The 23,587-nt window shown below is 41.1% G+C and overlaps 1 protein-coding gene across 10 annotated transcripts in view; it reads left to right on the forward strand.

The window, feature by feature from the left end:
- Positions 1–23,587, forward strand: part of EXOC4 (exocyst complex component 4) — an 847,874-nt gene that overhangs the window by 789,121 nt on the left and 35,166 nt on the right. For 8 of the 10 annotated variants that reach the window (XR_007060126.1, XR_007060125.1, XR_007060123.1 and 5 more), the window contains exon 18: positions 22,093–22,388. Coding sequence is in view for 2 of the 10 variants with exons in the window: in NM_021807.4 (NP_068579.3) it covers positions 22,093–22,330 (238 nt within the window). In the remaining 8 variants the exon portion in view is untranslated. Of the gene's footprint in view, positions 1–22,092; positions 23,564–23,587 lie in introns of those variants that run through there. The other 2 variants (NM_021807.4, XM_017012494.3) reach the window with 1 other exon arrangement.

Genomic DNA, 23,587 nt, shown 5'->3' on the forward strand with positions numbered 1-23,587 from the left:
GTAATCATTTTGCAGAAATCACTTTTGGATTCCCTTGTATCTGCATCTCTGCTATAGAGTATAAAGCATATTAGTTTAAAAGACTATTATTTCAACTAAGTGCTTTGTGTCTTCATTACAAAGCACAATAAAGCTTTTTAATACAATAAAGCCTTTATTACTTTCAATTGAATATGCCTGGAAATAAAGCTTTATCAACCACATTTGCCAGTGTGCTCAATGCTCTTGTCAAAAGCACTTTTTCTTCATTGCAGATTGAGTGACACAGAGCATGCTAGGAAAAAAAAAAAAAGGAAAGTGAAAGGACACATGACAAATATGGGCCATCTACGACTGGGCACACTGTCGATTACGACAGAGGCCTGAGGAAGCCAGGGAACCGGATAAATTGTCAAGAGCCTGTGTGGTGTAATAGAAAGGTTACAGGCTTTGGGCTCAGGAGATGCAGATTTAAGTCAGAGCCCTGCTGCTGATTAGCTGTGTGACCTGGACCTCATCTTTTCCACACCTAAATCTTGTTTCCTGGAAAATGGAAATAATATCAGTAATGCTGCCCTGGCCAGGCACGGTGGCTCATGCCTATAATCCCAGCACTTTGGGAGACTGAGGTGGTGGATCACCTGAGGTCAGGAGTTCGAGACCAGCCTGGCCAACATGGCAAAACCCCGTGTGTAGTAAACATGCAAAAATTAGCTGGCCGTGGTGGCGCATGCCTGTAATCTCAGCTACTGGTGCCGGGGGCTGAGGCAGGAGAATTGCTTGAGCCCGGGAGGTGGAGGTTGCAGTTAGCCGAGATTGTGCCACTACACTCCAGCCTGGGTGACAGATTAAGACTCCGTCTCAATCAGTCAATCAATCAATATAATGCTGCCCCTTCCCCCACTGCAGTCTCCCTCATGGGTTCGGATGGTTTTTAAATGTCATATATTCTAGTCTACTCCATTTTTTTTTCCAGATATGGAAACTGAGGTACAGTGGGATTGTGTGGCATGATCGTAATCACTAGTTAGCTAGTGCTGGGGCAAGGACTGGAATAGATGCCTCAGAGATGTCATGTTATGTCTGTGCTGTCACACAGCACATAAAGGAGCAGATAATTATTTTCTTAATGACACCCTGGCTGCATTTGGTAGGGGTGGGATTTTTTCCCCCAAGCAACTATTACTGAAACACATCACTGCTGTTTTCCTGCTCAAATGGTTTGTAAACATTTACACCCCCCAGCCTGAGAAAACATTTGCAGAAACATTTGGGTCACAAACCAATGTTTGCTTCACCACCACATTTGAAATATTTCTCTTTGAAAACATTAGAAATGTTTGTCAGTAAAACAGATTCTCAACAGAAGTATAAATCTGGAAAGGGAGGGACACCCACAGCCACCTGGTTTGGTGCATTCAGGGTCCTCCAGGGATAGCAGTTTCTTCCTGGTCCCTAGGAATGTGTGACACCTCCCAGCATCACCGTAGACTCTGACATTTCTTGGGTGTAAACTATTAGGGGCACATTGAGGAGTGCAATGGTTTCGGGGGAGGTTTGGAGGTGGCAAGTTTGTTCTCTCATGCAGCTGTGAATGTAGGGTAGTTGTTGAGAAGGAAGTGTAAAGAGAGGAGGCAGGAGATTGGCCAGGGCAGTCTCTGTGTAGAGAAGGACAGGCTGAGGCTTACTTGATTCTTCCTCATCTTTTCCCTCATTCCCCAACACAGCCTCTACAGCTCCAACACAGTTGTGCTAATTGGAAGTGGGGCCTTTAAAATAACCTTGGTTTGTAGCCCTGGCCTGATCGGTGATGGAGCATGGTCTAGGAACTGGATCAGCAGTTTGGAGTCCAGGCAGAGTGGGTTGAACCCTAACTCTATTTCTGACTCATGGATAATCTCAACTAATCCACCTTGCCACTGGGTGAAGCCTAGTGGAGAAGAGCTCAAAGGAGCCTGTGTAGAGTTTGCTCAAAAGAGTCCTTGTCACCACCTTCCTCCCATTTTGTTTTCTCCACCAATATCCAGGTCATGAGAGCAGCCCTTCCTCTGAGCCACAGGGAAGTAATCAATAAGGCCACATCCCGCTCACTGACATCCCCACTGAAACAGGTGAAGCACATGTGGAAGGTCATGAGATTTTTGAAAGCACTAGAAATTAGGAGACTAATTCTGAAGGTAGCAAGTGTGAGGGAAATGGAACCTCTGCTGCGTCCTGCCTACCACCGTCTTCTGCAGGATTTGTAAAAAACTAGGTTCAGGTTTCCAGGCTATTTTTGCTGCTGTTTGAACAGTGTCTACTTTTTCTACTAGGAATCAGCATGTATTTTCTTTGACATCTGTATCTGCTGAGATCACAGGCCATCCTGGTCACCACCTTGCTGTCTAGAACAGCGTCAACTCAACTGAGCAGTCATCCATTACCACGCATAAAGATCTGAAGGTCCACTCTGTGAAAGAGCAGACAATGCAAGGCATCTCCTCCTTCGCTTTAATGTAGCACACGTTAGCACAATGTGCACACTTGGAGCAGTCATCTGCACCTCAGTTTCCAGCTCCCCCGATCCAATGCTGTTAATATGTTCTTGCCAGACACTTATATTCACATAGCACTTTACAATCGACATAGGGCTTTCACAAATATGATTTCAGTGAGTCTCTTGATGAGTCAACATTTTTGTCTCCCCAAGCATTTTCTGATTTGAACTATTTTCTCACAGCCTAACTCAGCAGTTTTCCTGGAATGATGTGTGGGAGGTAGGGTATGATAGTGTATTGCTATGTAGTCAAACTTTAACCCTGAAAGTATAAAAGAATTCAATACTGGTGTTATTGTTAACTAGCCAGGTGACCTTAGGCAGGTGTTTTGCCTTTGGAGCCTCAGGTTGTGAGGACTAAATCAGGTGTATGTGAAAGGACCTGGTATATAGTAAGTGTTAAATGCTAATTGTTCCATATAATTATGGTCCTCCTTAATAATAAACATTAATAGAATCATTAGTGAATCTTTGGCTGAATTATATTTCTATCATACGTAGAGTTGTTCCCAATTCTAACCTATATTTCTCGTAAGGGTTACTCATTACTAGTTGTTATCAATGTTTCTTGAGAACAGTATGTAGGGATGGAGAAAGTTCAAAGGCATTTAGTACAAAGATGCTGGGGGTCAGTTAACTTACAAAAGCGTAGAGCCCTGAGACATGACTTTAATACATTTCTGGGGCACTTAGTGAAAATGTGAGCTGGTGAAGATGTTGCCATATCTGTCAGCTTACAGAATCTTCTGTGCACTTATCACAGGAGAACATGGAACTGCAGCAAACATCTCAATTAATGGATCAATCCTCACAACAGTATTGGCTGCGGACAGATGTCTTCTGTATAGTTAAGAAGTCAGGGTTCCAGTTTATAGGATTTGCATTTTTATAACAGCTTTATCAAGATATAATTTACATACCATAAACATTAACCCTTTTAACGTATGCAATTCATTGGTTCTTAGTATAGTCACAGCGTTGTACAGCCATCATCACCAGCTAGTTTTGGAACATTTTCATCACCCCGAAAGGAAACCCCATATCCATTAGCAGTCACTCCTCATTTCCCCCAAACGCTACCCCTGGCAACCATACATCTACTTTCTGTCTCTGTGGGTTTGCCTCTTCTGGATAGATCATAGAAGTGAAATTACACAATATTTAGTCTTTTGCGGCTAGCTTGTTTCAATTAGCATAATATTTTCAAGATTTATAAAATTAGCACTTGTCTTAATAACAGGGTATGAGACAGTTAAAAATATACTCAGGTACACATCCCAACACCTGGCCTACAGCCTGCTCTCTTTTTCATTTCCTTTTTCTGTAGGGGTGGGGAGAAGGAAGCTAAAGTGTTTATATCGAAGTATGGCATACACACAGTAAACTGCACAGATCTTAAGTACACAGCTTGATTCCTCTTGACAAAGAGAATACACCCTTATAACCATCACTCCTATAAAAATACAGAATGTTAAAACCACCTCAGGGCCGGGCACAATGGCTCATGCCTATAATCCCACCACGTTGGGAGGCTGAGACAGGCGGATCGCTTGAGGCCAGGAGTTCGAGACCAGCCTGGCCAACATGGTGAAACCCCGTCTCTAATAAAAATACAAAAATTAGTCAGGCGTGGGTAGTCCCAGCTACCTGGGAGGCTGAGGCAGGAGAATCGCTTGAACCTGGGAGGCAGAGGTTGCAGTGAGCCAAGATCGTACCACTGCATTCTAGCCAGGACGACAGAGTAAGACTATGTCTTAAAAAAAAAAACAAAAAAAGACGGCTCAGATGGTCCCCTCCTAAGTCATGGCCCTCACCACAGGCATTTCCTAATTTTATTTGATTTTTTTTTTTTTCTGAGTTTGTTTCCTTGTGTTATCTATTAATACAGGTAGTAAGTACGTGGTCCCCTGAGCCCGGGAGACCTTTCCCCAGTACTCCAGGCCTCAGTTACCTGCGTTCGTTAATGTTGGTTCCCAGGGAAAACAAAGCAGCACCAAGCACTCAGGACCCATGGCCTCTTCTTCTGAACCCAGGGACTCCCATGCCTTTGCATTTTCTCCTCGCTTTTGTCCCCAGCTGTCCTTCTAAACACCAGCAAGCTCTCAGCACAGGTCATTACAAAAAACAGTTCAGGGGAGTGGGGCGGGCTGTAGGGGGAGCATTAACCCCCGTCAGGGACAACTGGGGGCAAATGTTGCGCTCCAAAGGCAGATGTTTTGAGGAGGACTCCTAATTGTGACAAAGGCAGCCCCTGCACACTGGATGCTGGCCAGCCTCTGCCATTAACACGCCTACCTCCTCACTGGTGTGATCAAATTGGTACTGCTCTTATGAAATTATGTGTGTTAGCTGGCTCTTCAGAAATAAAATATCTTTTCTTAAAGAAATTAAGGTTTCATTTTAAATTGACTTTATGGCCTTTGAAAAACTTTAGTTTTTGTGTGGTCCAAAGCTATAGGTTAGCATTAGCATTTAAATAGAGGCATTAAACTTGCCTGAAGACCTTCCTCTCATAATGTAGCCCTTTCTGAGAGGTTTTTTCAAATCAGATACTTTTTCGTCCTAAAAAATGAATGCAAATGCTCTCTATATTTTTCCCCTCAAAGGCCTTTTTTCTTTATATGTAGACTTAGGAGAGCCACATTGTGGAGCAGCCTCAGTATTAGTCTTTTTGTATGGAAAGGGCCACGTAAAAAAAAAATTGCTATTCTCTCCTACAATGCCTGATTTTCTCTGCTGACTCTCAGGATGTATTTGCCTATGGTTAATTTTATCCTATTGTATGTCATTCCACTCCAGACACCCCCCAAAGGCACAAATCCCCATTCTACAACTAAGAATCTAATGTAAACTCCTGCTATGTAACAGTGACTCTAGGAGTTCCCAGTGTCCCCAGCAAATCCCCATCACTTTAGTAGAATCAGAGCTTGAGCTTTTGAACTGGATGAACTAGAGTTTGAGTCGTGTCCATCACAAGGAGGTTTTGTGACCTTCTCTGACCCTTTATTTATCTGCCAAATTAAGGTTATCAAGCCTTTCTTGTATGTTTGTCAAGAGTTTAAATGAGATCATATTTGTACTCCTGATTTATACTCTGTGCTCTTAGGTCCTGTAACCTAACCGGACAGGTTCTTCCTGCCTGCTGCACAAATAAAGACCATGGCCTTGCGGTAAAGAAAGAGTTTAATTGATGCGAGGCTGGCCATGCCACACAGTAGATGGAGTTGTTACTCAAATCAATCTCCCCAGAAATTCAGGGATCAGGGTTTTTAAAGATAATTTGGTGGGCAAGGGATCAGAAAGTAGGGAGTGCTGATTGGTTGAGTCACAGATGAAATCATAGGGAATTGAAGCTGTTCTCTTGCACTGAGACATTTCCCAAGTGGGGGCCACAAGACCAGATGAGCCAGTTTATTAATTTGGGTGGTGCCAGCAGATCCACTGAGTGCAGGGTCTGCAAAGTATCTTAAGCACTGATCTTAGGTTTAACAATAGTGATGTTATCCCCGGGAGCAATTTGGGGAGGTTCAGAATTTTACAGCCTCCAGCTGCATGACTCCTAAGCCATAATTTTGAATCTTGTAGGTAATTTTTTAGTCCTGCAAAGACAGTCTAGTCCCCAGGTAGGAAGGGGTTTGTTTTGAGAAAGTGCTGTTGTCATCAAAGTTTAACTATAAGCTAAGTTTCTCTCAAAGTTAGTTCAGCATATGCCCAGGAATGAGCAAGGACACCTTGGAGGTTAGAGGCAAGATGGAGTCTGTTAGGTCAGGTTCTCTTTCACTGTAATAACTTTCTCAGTTACAATTTTTGCAAAGGCAGTTTCAGTCCCCCTCCCTCACATTTCAACCAGACCAGTTGAGGAGTAGGTTAGGAGGAACCTTTGAGTAAAGGGTGTCCTCTTATTTCTTATGTTCTCACTGCTAGCCTTCTCTTTCCTTTCAGCCACCGGCCTCATCTCAGTAAAGTTGTGTGTATTTTAATGGCCCCAGGTCACATTTGACCTGAAGGAGACATACTAGAGGTGAGAGCCTGATGTGTTGTTCTTTACTGAGGTGCTGCCATCCTTCTCTCTTTGAGGTTGATTTTGTTTAGCTACAAGCTTGGGGATGTGGAGTTGTGAGGAAACCTTCTAGAAGATTGGCGTGGTCTGGTACTAGAAAAAAAAAATAGCCAAGTTGCCCAACAGTCTGAAGGCTTTCTTACCCTCAGGTCCATCCTCCATGCTGCAGCTGGAAAGGTCTTTCTAAAACAGTTGTCATCATGTGTGACTTCTTTCTAAAATCGTCTGTTTCCAGATTCCTCCCTGTCATTGGTTCCAGATTCCAGGGTGTATGTAAACTGAAACTGATTGTCCTCATCTATACGAAAATTAGAAAAATAATGACTGTACTTTGTGAGTTTCTCATAAATAATGACTAAAAGTTTCTGAGTTTCCCACACAATAAAACATGTAACCTTTTTGTTCTGAGATTATTTTCTTTCCACTTAAGGAGTGTTAAAATACCTTCTTTTATCAAATCTTGGTAATAATAAATGGTAATTGTTTTGTTTGAATAATCTAGGCAAAATAAAGCTTAATTCACCTTCATCCTTCCACTCACCCATGAAAGTCCAAAATCTTAGCATGGCCCACAGGTCTGTTAGGCTCTAGGCCCAGCTTGCCTTGCCCACCTTTCCCCTTCCTTGCTCTTCCCCACACCCCATGCACTCCAGTGAGGAATAAACCACTTGTCGTTTTCCCCAAATACCGTATTCTTCCTACTGTCCCACCCAGTTCACACATTCTGTTTCCTTTGCTCGTGGAGGACTTTATTTCCTTCATATTTGCCTCATTGTTGACAACTTCTCCTTCTCTATTAAGCCTTCCCTGGCTGCTCTCAGAAACCTACAGCCCTTCCTGCCTGTGATCTTAGAGAATCTCCTCCAGACCTTTATTATGGCCACTGTCACATTGCTATAAGTACATACAGTGCCTGGCTACTTTCACACCAGACTCTGCATCGCCAGAGAACAAGGACTATGTTTTACTTACCTCTGCATCCACAGTATCTACTGTATACTACCTGGTTTGTCATTGATGCTGAAATATTTGTTGAGCAAGTAAACAAATTTAAAAAGGACTTCGAAAGGGACTATATAAGCAGTGAGGATGATACAAAGAGTCATAAGACACAGTCTTTGACATCAAGGAGCCTACAGTCTAGGTGAGGTTAATAAATACTAATAATGGTACATCCACACAATTGAGTACTCTGCCACCATTAAGAAGAATGAGGCAGGTTGATATGAACTGAAATGGAACCTTCTCCAGGCTCTATTGTTAAGTAGAAAAAGTAAGGTGCAGAACAGTATGTAAACACCATTTATCCTTAGATATATTTGTGTGTTTATATACACACACACATTCAAGAAAGACTGCTTCTATATGTATAAAATATATTTGGAAGGATACCCTGGAAACTAGTAATAGTAATTGTCTCTAGGAAAGGAAATGGTGGGAGAGAGGCTTTACGCTATATGCTTATTTTGTACCATTATCTTTTTACGTAACAAAAAATATTATGTGCCAGGCGCTGTTCTAAGCACTTTATAAATATTAACTTGCTTAGTCTTCTTAACAATTCTATGAGCTAGGTGCTATCAATATCCTCATTTTACAGATGAGGAAACTGAAGGCTTACAGGTTAAATAACTTTCCCAAGTTCACAAAACTAGTAAGTAAATACCCTAGTAACCTTTTTTATTGTATCATCAGCTCAAAAAGAATATTAAGAGTTTTTTTTTAAAAAAGATATGATTCTACAGGATAAATGTTAAGTGGGTTACCCATGCAGTAAGTGACAGAGAAGAAATAAATTGCTCAGGATAGCTTCATAGAGGGTAGAGGATTTAGCGATTTTGAACATGAAGTAGGCTCTAGATACTTAGAGCCAAAAAGTACTAAGTATTATTCAGGGGACAGTGAGTAGCTCAATTTGGTTTGAATGGCAGGTTGAAGCAGGGAAGAACTGGGAGAAAATGTGGAATACAGGTCAAGTCTTTAAAAGGCCTTGGATGTCAATGTTGAAAGTTTGGACTTGATTCTGTTAGCACTAGTGAACACACAAGGTTTTTTTTTTATTATTATTAAATACAGAATAGTGATATGATCCAACTAAGAACTGGGGGTTAGTCTAGGAGGAGTGAGTGAGTGAGGTGGCCAGTTAAGAGGCAACTGTAACAATCCAATGAGAAGAGTGTAGGATCTGTGATAGTGAGATTGGAAAGAAGAAATGAATATGAAAGATGTTGCATTGATAGACCTGGTGACAACTGGACCAAAAAAATGAAGGAGAGTGAAGATTCCAGGTGACACTGAGATTTTGAGGTTTTGCAAGCTAGTTCCGTTAAGCAAAATTCAGTGGCTAGGGAGGCCACCTGACAAGGGCAGCTGATAGAAATGTCTGCAGACAAGTGAAAATGACGTTTTGATCTACTGAGAAACCAGATCTTGAGAAAGACATCTGAGCATTATATATATGCACAGATAAGACTTTCAGAAGCAGAGAGAGAAGAATGGAGGGCCCCCACCTGACTGGCAGGAACACCTGCAGCAGGCAGACACAGAGCCAATAGCAGAATCAGAGAAGAAACTCAGAGGGAGCTGGGAGAAGTGCCTTAAAAATGTGGCTTCATGGGGCCAGGCACTGTGGCTCATGCCTGTAATCCTAGCACTTCGGGAGGCCGAGGCAGGTGGATCATGAGGTCAGGAGTTCAAGACCAGCCTGGCCAAGATGGTGAAACCCTGTCTCTACTAAAAATACAAAAAATTAGCTGGGTGTGGTGGCACATGCCTGTAATCCCAGCTACTCCGGAGGCTGAGGCAGAGAATTGCTTAAACCTGGAGGGGCAGAGGTTGCAGTGAGCCGAGATCGCGCCGCTGCACTCCAGCCTGGGAGACAGAGCGAGACTCCGTCTCAAAAAAAAAAAAAAAAAAAAACTTGGCTACCTGGGCCGATGCAGAGGCTCACGCCTGTAATCCCAGCACTTTGGAAGGCCAAGGCGGGTGGATCACGAGGTCAGGAGATCGAGACCATCCTGGCTAACACAGTGAAACCCTGTGTCTACTAAAAATACAAAAAAATTAGCTGGGCATGGTGGTGGGCACCTGTAGTCCCAGCTACTCAGGAGGCTCAGGCAGGAGAATGGCATGAACCCGGGAGGTAGAGCTTGCAGTGAGCCGAGATCACGCCACTGCACTCCAGCCTGGGCAATAGAGCACGACTCCATCTCAATAAAAAAGAAAGAAAAAAAAATGTGGCTCCATGACAGTTGGGTTGAGGATGGAAAACTGTCAAGGAAAAGAGGACTTAGGAAAAGCTGCTGTGCGTGTCCATGAAGACGTCATTGACGACCCTTTTCATAGACACATTGGAGGCTTAGAAAGGACAGGCAGTGAATACAAATGATTTGTTCAAGAAATTCAACAATGAAAAGGAGAAAAGACACGAGGGGAGAGATGGAGTGGACATGGGATCACATAAAGGGTTTGGGGTTTGTTTCTTGATTTGTTTTTCCAAAATGGGAGAAGGAGGATGTTTGAAGCAGACATGAAAGAACCAGTGAAAAGGGAAGATACTGGATACAAGAGTTAAAAATAAAACAAAAACCCAGCAGAGTCTTGAAAGCATTGGGAGGGGTGAGGATCAAAGGCATAGGGTTAATCTTACAAAAAGAAAAAAAGAAAAGAAACCCCTCTTCTTCTGAGTCAAGAGGGAAGGACTGATTTTTTTTTTTTAATGTATGTCAGCATGGAGGATGTGATACCTCATACAATTGTGAGACCCATAGAGATAATATATACATGAACAATGGCCAATACAGACTACAGAGGAGGATGCAAACAAAGTTAGCAGTTAGTTTTATCATTTGTATTATATCACATAGCAGGTGTTCTATCATATCATTTGATTAATCTTCAAACCTAATGTGATGTAATATTATTTATCCCATGCTTAAATGAAAAAACTGAAGTTGAGACAGGTTCAGAAATTTCCAGTCATGCATCTTAGGTAAAAGATGTGGGATTCATGCCTAAATCTGCCAGAGAATGAAAAGCTGAGAAGGATTACAGATCACTAGTGAAAACACGGATCTCTGTTGTCTCCCCCTTTTCCATTAGCGACCATTATCCTGACCATCTCCCCCCGGAGTTACATCAGAATAACCCTTTGTGTTTTATACAGATCAATTATTTCATTCATAGTTCCTCTTTTCCCAGTGTCAGAGAATCATAGACTGCTTTTTAGATTGTATGCCATACTTAATGACATGTATAGACTATCAGCTGTCTCATTCATTCATTCTTTTTCATTTACTCAGCATTCACTAGTTACCGTCTTCTTAGGCCAAGGGGTAGGAGCAAGTTGAATATAGAATTCAGCCCTGCTCTAGAGAATGGCGTGAACCCGGGAGGCGGAGCTTGCAGTGAGCAGAGATTGCACCACTGCACTCCAGCCTGGACGACAGAGCGAAACTCCATCTCAAAAAAAAAAAAAAAGAAGAAGAATTCAGCCCTGCTCCAGTAGAACCTGCATTGGAGGAGGGGGAAGCAGATACTTGTTTATGTACTAAATGCTTCTACATTCTTACTCTGTCTAGCCACTGCTCTTAATCATTTAAGCCTTGGAACAACCCTATGTTACTATTTCCTTTTCTCAGATGAAGAGAATAAGGCACAGAGAGATTAATAACTTGACCAAAGTTGTACAAATAGGAAGAGGCAGAATTGGGTTTAAATCCCAGGCAACTGGCTCCCGAGTCCATGATCTTAACCATTGTATATGCTGATGAAAGTATATCTGATTTTATATATATATATTTAAATATATAATTTTAAATATATTTTGGAAATATATTTTTTAGTTGGAGATGAATGCTAAAAAGAAAATTAAAGCTCATTTAAAGGACAAAGCTTGATGAGGATGGAGCAAGTAACATTTAAAATAAGGTGGTCAGGGAAAACCTCACTTACTGATAAGCAGACATTTGAGCAAAAATTGACCAGAATCTCCTTTAATCTTCTATTTTCCTCCAACCTCCTGTCCCTTTAATCCCATCTGATCCTCTTTTCTGATTTTCTTTCAGTTGGCTTACAGTATAAAGCAAAAGAAGAACTATGAAGTACAACAAAGACAAATTAATGTCACTTCCTTGCTCTATAGCTGGTACTTTTTATTTTAATTTATTTTATTTTTTAATTATTTTTTCTAAGATGGAGTCTTGGTCTGTTACCCAGGCTGGAGTGCAATGCCATGATCTTGGCTCACTGCAACCTCCACCTCCCAGGTTCAAGCAATTCTCCTGCCTCTGCCTCCCAAGTAGCTGAGACTACAGGTGCGCACTACCACGCCCAGCCAATTTTTTATATTTTTGGTAAAGACGGAGTTTTGCCATGTTGGCCAGGCTGGCCTTGAACTCCTGACCTCAGGTGATCCACCTGTCTTGGCCTCCCAAAGTGCTGGGATTACAGAACTTGTACTTTTAAAATAGGAAATAAGAAATGCTCTGGTTCCATGGCCCTTAACACCCACCCCAACACACCCACCTCCTCCTCGCCACCCAGTGACCATTCACCCACCTGTTCTAAGGTTTCTCCCAACTATTGAATGAATATAGGAGGTTAGAATTTCTCCTAGACAAATTCACTTGGGTTTTTCTAAGATGACTCCCCTTTCATTACTTGCTTCCCATAATTCCAGATTTCCTGGAGTCCTTGATGTGATTTTTCCTTTCTTGTTGCCATTCACAGCCCCTCCCCGTTCACTAACATTGGCCCCTTTCACCACTCTGTATCTTCCTGTGCATTAATGAAGGTATTAAGTGAGATCAGTTCTAAAGCCAGCATCCTTAGAATTCACTAGATGCTTCTTTTCTGCATTTGTTGACTTGCCGTTCTCATTACCCTCTGTTTGTTTTTCAGCCTGTGTCCTATCGAGGGTAGCCATTCAGAATAAATTCATTTTGCTAGTTATATTTTTCTAGAGGCACTGCATCAAACGGTTCACTGACATTCAAATACGTATCAGCCACAGTAGTCTTTTCATCCACCAAATTCACATTGTTATCCAAAGCTATCCATCACGTTTGTCAGAGTATTTGGGTCTTTAATTAAACCTGCTGGATATTGTTCATATTTCCATTAGCTCCTTTCTAGTTAGTCTATTATTTTTCTAATTGACATCTGTTCTGAGTCACATGTCCTTGAATTTCAGGTGGCCCATTTTGTAGCTTTGGTTTATTTAGGTTTTCTCTCTTTCATAAATTACCTAAGGATTTAGTTAATACACCCTCAAGTGTTTGCCACTGGGACCTGCTGATTTACATATGTTTACGCTTCTCAAATAATCCAGAGTTTTTTGGTTCTTCTACGAAATCATTTTCCTTTGAGGCCCTTCAGTCCTGTAAGAAGTAGTCTTGTGTCTCAGCAAGGCAGAGAGATCTCCTACAATTTCAAGAACTGTACTAGAGTCACTAACCAGGACCAGAAGGTCAGGAATCAGGGTTTGAGTGACTCAACCAAGTGATGGCTGAATAGCAGTCCTTGCGTCTTAAGACTCCCAGAGGCTGTAGTGGGTTGCAGTGAACTCTCCATTCAGCCTCCCCCAGCCCTGTCTTAACATCATTGTGAGGTAGCTGGCTAGGGGCAGAGTCAACGGCCAAAAAATAGAACGAATTGGCACCTGCCAGAATCAACCATTACCTTGGCCTCACTGGCATCATGCTCATCACGCTTTCGTTGATGGGAGCATATGTTCCCATCAAAGCCATGAAGTCCATTCCTGTTCCCACTGACTGTTCTCCTCACACACCCACAGGTAGGGCAAGATCCATTATTATAAATACAGAAAGCCCATTACCCATTCACTTCACCATCTCATTTCCAACCCTGGTCGTCATTTGGAGCAGAAGCATTGTTTTTATCCCTTGTCCAGGGCACTCCAACTCTTTGTGCCTTTCTTATGTACCAGGAGACAAGGGCAGGCAGGGAGACTGCCAAGCCCTAGTTTTGCTTTACTTTAAATTAAAACATTTGCTTCATGCCTTGGGTATTTTTGGTCTGAGCCTGGATTAGATTTTAAAAATAAATAAATAAATAAAGCTTCTTGAAGCCAAGGACTATACCTTTCTATATCATATTAACATTTAAAATGTTATTAGAGTTTCCTAAGCATTAGTAATAACATTAGGTTTTGCTTTGAAGAAATCCTTTGCATTATTTATTGAAAAATTAATAATGTGATTTTATTACTAAAAATTGAAAAAGCCGTAGGGCCTCTCAGCAGTTGTTTCCCAGATTGCTAATCTGAAAAATATAGATAATATACACTACAAGAGTCTTGTGCTAATTGGGTTAAATGATATGTAGCTTTGTGGTCACTAAAGTATATAATACAATGTCCTTTTTATCACCCTATGATATTAGATAAATTGTCTTTAAAAATCAGAAAGACTCTCTAAAGTGATATTTGATGAACTATTTTCTTAAATTGAAAAGACTCTAAAGTGATATTCAGCTCAGAATAGCACTCCTTAACCTGGACTCACCTTTTGATAATCAAAAGAACATTTACAGAAGTATGAGACAAACACAATTATGAAAGTAAAATGAAGGCCCTAAATAAAAAAATCACAGAACAAGAGGGTAATTCTATTCACTCTTTCATATTTCATTATTTGATAACATCAGAAGATGAATCCATCAGAATTGCCTTGGCAAGTGCAAACAGAAATGTGCCTGATCAATATTTATAAAAACCTTCAAAATGGGAGAAGGAGTTGAGCAGACTTCTTAATGGACTGAATAATTATTCATACAAATGGGGTTTGACCAAAGGCAGTGCCAGACCAAAGAGACACAGTTTTAATTGTACTGAATTTAAAATGCAGATCTTCCTCCAGCCCTTTTGTAGAAAACTTAATTTAAAAAATTATCTGATGTAGCAGAGAGTGACATATGAATCCTTAAGTTGTTGAAGAGGACATGTCAACCATAGATATTTATAAATTTAGAACGTGTTCCAAAGGTGGGGAGCAAAGTTGCTAGCTAAGGGAACAAAAAGAAATTTTCTCCCCATTTCAATGACTGTAACTGAGCCAAGGAGTGTGTCATCATCTCAACGGTGATGGGAATGTCCTGGAGGAGTTTCTTTGTTTCAAGTGGTTTTATTATCTGAAGAGAAATAAAGCAAGTCTCTGGCTGCTGCTGTCTATCAAAAATGTCAGGATACGTTCCTGAGAGGAGTGAAACAGCTGATTTTAACTTTCAGCGTCTCCCCAGGAGAACCCCCACCCCCGCAGTACTGCTGAGGCGTGATGGTTATCAGGACAAGGCCAAGAGGTAACTGGTAACTGCCATTTAAGGATAGTGCCATTGACAAAGGGTAGGTGCGTGCATGTGTCACTATATATAAAAAACAGGTAGGTAGATGACCGATCAAAGAAGACCGAGCAAGCCTTAAAGAACAGACTCCCAGGCTATCTTTACCTCTTGAATGATTTTCTTCTGCCACCAGCTGAGGGAATATAAGCAATATGTTTTCTAAAGACCATTATTCACTTCTAGCGTGTCCTGATCAGAACAAAAACCTATACAATCCGTTGTGAGAAGTGTAAAAAAAAAACAAAAAACTGTCCTGATACAGAATATATACCTAATTGTGCCACTAACTGTCTGAAAATTATTTAGCTTTTCTCCACCTTAGTTTTCTCATTCCTAAAATGGAAATAACTTCAGCTCATTTTAAATTAGAATTTTCAATCATGTTTGTAATAAACTTTAAGCTCTTCGAAGGGGAATACAAATAAGAGCAATTAGATTATACTTTTTAATAAACTAATTTATTCTTCTGACACACAGGATTACCATCCATTTTATTATTGGTCGGAAAGTCCATTTGAGCTGAGATTACACTTGTTCAGAGTGTTTTCAAGTCAATTGCTACTGCGTCTTGTCTACCATTGCTTGAAGAAAAACAACATCAGCTAATTCTGATGGGAGCCCCATGATTTTGAAGGACCAAGCAGGGGACGCTGTAAAGGTTTAAAATCCAAAAATGCCAGTGCTTTTATATAGCATCTACTGTAACCTTTCTGTTTTGGACATGAGAAATAGATCCAGATAGCTGGTGGTATTTGCCCAAGGTCACATGGCTAGTTAGTAGCGAAGAATGAAAGACTTAACCAGAATCTGAGTTTAGTTGATCTCTTAAATATTTACCTCACTAAGTTGTTCTGCTATAACCACAATCTCTCAATTATTTATGGGATGATTATCTGGTTTATGGGTTATTCTTTTTTCTCTTGTCATTTCCCTGTTATTATCATAGATACCATTGAGTGGCTGGAGAAAACAGGAGTTCACTGCTTCACTTGACAACTTAGTGACCCATCTACCATTGGGTTTTTATTAAAGTGCTCAAAATGCTGTAGATATTGGCTAAAAATAATGTTGGGAGCTACAGTCAATACTAACTTTTATTCAGCTCAATTTTTCTCCCTCTCAAATTTGTATTTCAGAAGTCAGATTCAGCACAGAATTCACTTGTTGACATTAATACTAGAGCTTTATCTTGGGAAGGACTACAAGAGAAAGTCTTTACAATGAAAATAATTATCTCCCTTCCCCAAAAAAGTACTGAATCAGAGGGACAGTCAACTTTTGGAAAGAAAGGTTACTTCATCCATTACCAACTTGAAGGGGCAAAAAGGGAAGAAATAAAAAGAGGTGACAAAATGAAAAAGCCAAAAACTCTTGCTTGTAAACTCCCAAATTAAGTGTTAAATTTACAACATGACTGCATTACTTGGTTTAGAGCACTGAATTCCCAGATCAAATCCAGTGTTGTTCAGATATAACTGCAAAGTTTGTACAAACGAATTTGAATCACCACAATACTGGCTCATTGCATTACAAAGAAAGAGCTGAGTATGGGAATTTTATTTAATTCATATTTGTGTACTCAAGACTCAAATGAGTCAGCGATAAAAATATTCTTTTCAGTTAGTTCTTTTGCTTTTTATAGTTTCAAATATTTTTGTATTAAGGTGGTTTTAGAGTAAATACAGGGCTCAAAAGTCTTTCATTTTGAGGCCTTAGACAAATCACTAATACTCTGTAGATCTCAATTTTCTCATATGTATAACGTAGATAATTGTAGTTCCTATTTAAAAGGATTGAAATGCACCTAAAAGCTAGACATTATTATTAATATTCTACAATCAAGACAGATTTCAAAACCCAGCATGAGACGTAGCTGTATATTTTAAAACACAGTTTCCATTCCGGGATCTAGGACTCTGAATTCTACCAAGTAAAGGAAGGCAAAAGGCAAAGCTTTCCTCAGAGACCTTGGACAGTTCCCCAGTCAGGGCCTTGCTGTCACCCCTACAGGCAAAGTTTATGGAACGCCTACAAGTACAGGAACAAGAGTTGCCATGGGCGGGAATAGTTTATGTTAGTGAGTATTTCTTCCCTCAATTTGCAAAGAAGGGAACTGAAACTGTTTCTAATCACTTTCAGAGATGCAGTACTAATTTTTGCACTGAGTATGCCAACTTGGGAGGTAGAACCAGGGATGAGAAAACTCCCTGGCCTCTTGTCTATGAAAATTTATGAAAAGCTCTTAAAGAGAAGTCAGAAAAGCACTAATACTCAAAGATAAAAAGATATCAACAATTCATTTATACATACACGCATACCTACATACATTAAAAACAAATAAGTAGATGAAAAATTGTTCCACCTCATGCAAATCAAAAGAATGTGAGTTAGATGCTGCCCATATGTTGTTGATAGGAGGATAAATTGATAGAGCTTTTTTAGAAAGCAACTTGGCAGCATTGTCAAGTGTCCTAAATAATATACTTATCTTTTAACTAATTCTGTTTTTAGAAATCTATCCATGAGAAAGTAAGTCTTTATAATTGGAAACAATTGAAGTATCCAATTGTGTTTCAACCTAAATATTTCAACTATAAGAAAGAAATTGGCTAGAACACTACATGTGGTGGGGGCGAACTACAAGAAAATATGCCAAACTGTGGTTTATCTTTATGATGAAATTATGAGAAATCTTTCTGTATGGCCCATATATTCTATATGGCATATGTATTAACTTTCCAATCAGAGGAAGATAAAATTTTGTTTTAAAACTTTAAAAAGATCTGCCCACCTTTCCAAAATACCCTGTATTTCCTTCCTGGTAGAAATGTTTTCAGACAGAATGTATGGGGGAGAAAGAGTCGCAGTGCAATACCATTAAAATAAAGCACAAAAGAAAAAGCCACAGAGAACAGTCTGTTGATAAAGCAAACATGAGGAAGATAAGAGAAAATGATCTGTTTGCACCAGAACAAAGCATAAACATTGTTATGTTCTAGACTCTGCACATGAGACCAGTCTGTGAAGTCACACCTCCTCTTCTCTGTCACTCTACTCCCTCACCTATCTGCTTATAATACTTTGGGAACTGCTGCAAAAAGGCACACAGCAAAGGGTAGGAGAAGCCACAGCAAGGTGCACATCTCCTTCCAGAATGTTCCATCCAGCAGGGTGACTTGAAACTCTTTGGTCTCCAGAATAAGATATTTGGTGTACATCTAGCAATTGACTGCTGAATATTGTAGGCTATGAAGAGTCTGTGAAGGGCTACAAACCATGAGCCAGAAAATGTCTCAATCAAATGTGCATTCACTGATCCCATCCAGGCAGCCCCAGCAAAGTGTCATCAAATGGAAAATGTGTTGCCCTGGAAGCCACGGCTGCTATTTTAATGCTCGATGATGAAGACCAAGCTTTCAATTTCCTGGGGCCTCAATAAGTGCTGATAAATTATTTATCCCTATTGGGTGACATGATTTCATTTCAGTCTGACAGTGTTTATCATGGAAGCTCATTCTAATGGTATAGTTTGGGGCATTTTTCTATTTTCTCTTTAGGACACCTGGTAGCACCCTTTCCCCACCTCCAGGTGAAACTGTTGCTGTGTCAGTTTAGTCATCTTTGCTCCTGGGTACCATTCTGAAAGATAAATGAATTTCCTTCTGTCTTTAAATATTTATGATTCTTTATGATCTAATATATCAGCATGGTTATGGAGGAATTTTTTCTCTCTAACTATAGAAAATACACCATCAATTACCTGTCAATTTTGTTGAATAACTCAGCTTTGCAATTCAGGGGCACTGTTCATACGAAGCTCTTGAGGACTCTTTTAGTCTCTCAGTCCACTTCAGACTGTCATTCCGGGATTTATAAAGGTCTTCATTGCACAGAGGATATTGAAACATTAAGGACTTAAGTGGCATGCCCTTTATCACTCATCACACTGTGGAAGATCCAAGAGTAGAAATGCAGGCATCTTTGTTTTGTTGTTTGCTCCCAGCGTGGAACAATGGCCTCTGTAGAAAACCAGCCAGTATCCCTGGAAACAATTCATCAGATTTTTCAAAAGAAATCCAATTTCATCTGGCATGATGGGCTCAGTGTTGCTTCTTAAGATAAATGATAAAAATATCAACATCCTAATACAAAGAAATCCAGTTCTTTTGGTTTAATCTCAGTGAAAAGCATCACAAACCTTTTATTGCTTCTGTAGCCTTCTCTGATGCGTTTAGGTCCTTGGTTGAAGGAGACAGTGGTTCTGTAACTGTTGGTCTACCAAACAGACTCTGACTGAGTCGTGGCTGGTTCAGAACCTTTAAGAAGCACATATCTGGGGATGGGGCCTCAGGAATCTGCACTTTTCATAGGCGCCCCAAGGTAATTCTTAGGTACCCTAAAGTTCAAGAACTGCGAGTCTAGAAATCGCAGCTTTCAAGTTCCTTCTAGCTTTGAAAGAATCGTGAGCCCCAGATTCACTCTCATTTCATTTGGTAAATCTCGATGCACGCATGAGCTCTTCTTGGGCAATTTTAAAAATGTATATTCTTAGGAAGTTCCATTAATAGACAACTCCCTCCATCACCTGTGCATCTACAGGAAACAGAATTAGATGACATAGGGCATCATTTCCCAAAATAGGGGCCAATATCAGTGAGAGCCAGGGGACATGCAGAGCTGTAGGATAAATATTAATATGATGCTTCTTCCTGCAGCATCAAGTTTTTCTTAGAAACAGTGTGTTTAAATTACAGCAGATACATTAAGGAGTAGAATGCAAAGTTCACGTGAGTTTTATGCTAAACATGAAACTTCAAAAGATTTACTGATCTGGCACTGGGGTCTCACACCCCTGGAAGTGGAGTTTTATCTCCCCTTCTACCAAGTATTTCTGTCTATATTCAGGGTCACCCTGGACCAGTGATTGCTATGTGTCTGGTTCTGTGATGCCAAAATGAACACTCGTTTAAAACCACTATAGAAAATTAGCCCCCTGTACACAAGGATGCTGACTGATTTGCTTGCAGGAGAGCTTCATTAACTTACCAATCTACAAAGAGCACTTTCCATTTCTGCCACTATTTAGAGTATATTCACAAAAGATTATTCTCTCCCCTATTTTTAAAAGAGTGTGTTAGTTAGAAAAGGAGGCTTAGCAGGAGGAAAAGAAGCTAACCGTGTGAAAAGACACCACAACTCTTCCTGACCACATTCCCCTTGTACCAGCAATTCAATAAAACAGGCCTGAAATTATGGAGCTCCTAGAATGTATTTCTTACCACAAAGATAGCTTCATTTCCCCATAGGAGGTTCTTTTTTTCAAAATGTTCCTGATGAGAAAGAAACAAATTCACGGCCCTGAGTCTAATAATACAGGATTTCTGAGCCACTCATCCTGCTAGGTCTGGAAGATTGCTTCGTCTCCAAGAGTTGCCTTGAGTGCACTGCCTGGTTCTGTCCCCTCGATCTTGGCAAAGTTACCTTTCACGTCAGAGAGAAGTGAGTAACACTCTTCATTTTGCTGACAAGCTGTGATAAGCCTTCCTGGCTCAGAGTCTGTGTTGAACTTGACCTCCTGGGTAATTTGGAGTGGCCATGGAAGTCACAGCTTCAGAGTCCAGTAGACTGAGAGATAGCAGTGGCATAGTATTGGTTTAAAGAATGGTGAGTGGTCATCTTCTCCCCTTCCTGACTCCCACCTTCATCTTCCTGCTGCATTGAAGAATCCCTATAATGCATATTTCTATTACAGGCACAAGTCTTCCTCCACCAAAGGACAGAGCCAGGCCAATGGCCTTGCCGTTAAGTGGCTCTCAAGTCTCCTCTTTCTGCTAGAATTGTAACCAATGCCCTGCCAGACCATTCTGCGTTTGATTGTCACAGTAATCTTCCAGAAGCACAATTTTGAATGGCACCTCTGCTCTCTGGAAGAAGGAAGTCCTTTATTGGCTTAACTAGGTCTAAAATCATAGCCTGATGTTCAGAGGCTCTACCCTGTGGCTTCAAATGCCTCATCCCAGGACTCTCTGCTATTGCTCTGCACTCCCCAGTCTAACCAGATTATTCTTCCATGCCTTTGCTCATGCTCTTCCCTCCAACTAGAATTTCTTTCCTGGAAGCCCTGCCTGACAGAATCTTACCCCACAGGAAGTCTTCCTCAGTCCCACACCATCCCCTCAGCATGGTGCGATTTCTCCTCCTCTGCTATTAACGCACGGTACTAGGACCTCACTTATGGCACACAGAATATTCTTGTGAGTTGTCAAGTGTCCGTGAAAAAACAGTCTTGAACTTAGAGTCAGAAACCTGGGGTCAGATCCTGGCATGGTCAGTCCCTGTCTTTGTGATGTGGGCAAGCCCTCTAACTTCTCTGTGCTTTCGTCTTTGTATCTGGGAAAAGGGAGGTGTAGCCCCTGGGTGGAGTGAGGGGTAAGTGGCACAGTGCTCGGGAATGAACTTGGTCAACAGCACTGGAATCCTTATGTCTCTGCTTTTCAGGACCTTTCCTCCTTGTCTCCGAGCTACTTGAGGAAAGGGGCTGTGTCTTGCCCATCCTTATATACTACTATTAATTTTATTACATTACTGTCACACATTAGCATCATTATAGTTCTAATAATAATAATCTTTATGAAGCACCACCATTCTGAGTGCTTTATACGTATTAATTAATTCAACTATTTCAATAACCCCAAGAGGTAGGTACTATTATTAACCCACTTTATGGAGCAGAAAACCATGTACAGTATTTTACAAAACCTCCAATGAATAATGAATGAATGAGGGATTGAATGAGACAAAACCTGTTAACAATGCCTTCTCTCCTTCTTCAGGCTATACCCCTACTTTTCTTTCCTTTCTCCCAAGGTAAATGCAAAATTAGCAAAAAAATGTAGAATGAGCTGAGCCACAGAAAGGTATGCGGCCTCCCTGGGTCCTCACTTAGACTTCTCCTGAAGAGAGCTCCCATGAGCTCCAAAGGACAGAGCTTATGGTTGTCCTGTTCTTTATTCTGTTGGTGGGGCCTAGAACACTGCCTGCTGATCAATCGTTATGAAGTAAGTAGAGGAATCAATGTATAGACAGCGTATTTGTCCCCTCGAGACGACGTTACCAGTGGGGAGCCAGTGAGCAGTGTTCTCTCTTGCTTTCTCAGGCAGTACTACGAGATGCTTTACAACACAGCTGACGAGCTCCTGAACCTGGTGGTGGACCAGGGTGTGAAGTACACGGAGCTGGAGTACATCCACGCTCTGACCCTGCTGCACCGCAGCCAGACTGGGGTGGGGGAACTGACCACCCAGAACACGAGGCTGCAGAGGCTCAAAGAGATCATCTGCGAGCAGGCTGCCATCAAGCAAGCCACCAAGGACAAGAAGATAACTACCGTTTAGCAGGGCGTACTGCGGTTGGTGACGGGGGTCCCCTCAGTCACACTCACTTTTTTCCTTGGTATGTTATTGAGTATATTCTGAGCTTAGTTTTCTCTACAGTGATACTTTAGTGGAGAGGAGGTGTAAGGATTCTTTCTCTCTGGTTTTGGCTTTTCATATAAATGCTAAAGGAAGGCGACAGTACAGAGTGTTTTGGTTGAACAACTACTTTAATGCAGTCAAATCTAACGGGACTAGGGTGGGATAGGGAGGAAGGTGGTATCAAATTGTTGGACTCTGAAAAACAAGTGGATGGATTACTAATATTTGATTTATTACTCAATATATATATAATTCCAGCCTTGGAAAGTAGGAAAGTAGGCTGCTACCTAACTTTTAGTCCCTTCCAAAACCATTTAGTAGGGTTCTATTACATAAACAGTAGGGTTTTTCCTCTCCTGACCTTATCCGTTTACAGTTCAATGAAATAAGTGTATGTGCATTGCTGTCTGTCTCTATTGCCAAAATCAAATAAATGGCTTCTCAGCTGCTGTTTACAACAAACTTCCCTAACCAAAACAGAACCTCTAATTTAGGGCTAGGAATAGAAGTCTTTTGATCCCAGTCCCTGGGACAGTTTTGTATGCTGTATCTTGTACACAGGTTGTAGGTTGGTTTATTGCCATTTTGTTTTATTTCTGCTGTATAAAAACCAAGAGCCAGACAATTAGACAACTATGGAGGAATGAAAGGCAATTCAAACATCTGCTTGATTCCCGCCCCGCCACCCCTAATTTCTGAGAGAATAATGGTTAGAGAACATTGCATCTCACTTGAAACATCCTTTGGGGGTAAATGATTCTTAGGTGCTCACTTGGTCTGAGCTCAGCTGAATGCAGGGAAGATGGGACAGAGTGACATTTCTCCTCTGTGCGGCCTCCAGCTGAGCCTGTCTCTGAATTGTTCCCTCCCCCGCAATGTGGGCACTTACCATGTTCCTGGCACACTGGACCTCACCATGTCCCCCGGTCACCAGTCCTCTTGCTGCCCATGGTTCATAGGTCATAGAAGGCAGCAATGCACTGACTGGGCCACATCTTGAAAACTCGTGGAAAGGGAAAGGGGAGGAGATGGGACTTTGACCACACACAGTGATGCCTCACACCCTGAAGGTGGGGGATTTTGTACCTGTTTGTACAACTTTGGTCTTGATGGGAAAAATGGAGAATTAAAAAGTGTTTTGAGAAGCTTAAATGTTTCATGTTATTTTTCTTGTGT

This window comes from Homo sapiens, chromosome 7 (assembly GCF_000001405.40).
Source record: "Homo sapiens chromosome 7, GRCh38.p14 Primary Assembly".
Taxonomy (NCBI): Eukaryota; Metazoa; Chordata; class Mammalia; order Primates; family Hominidae; genus Homo; species Homo sapiens.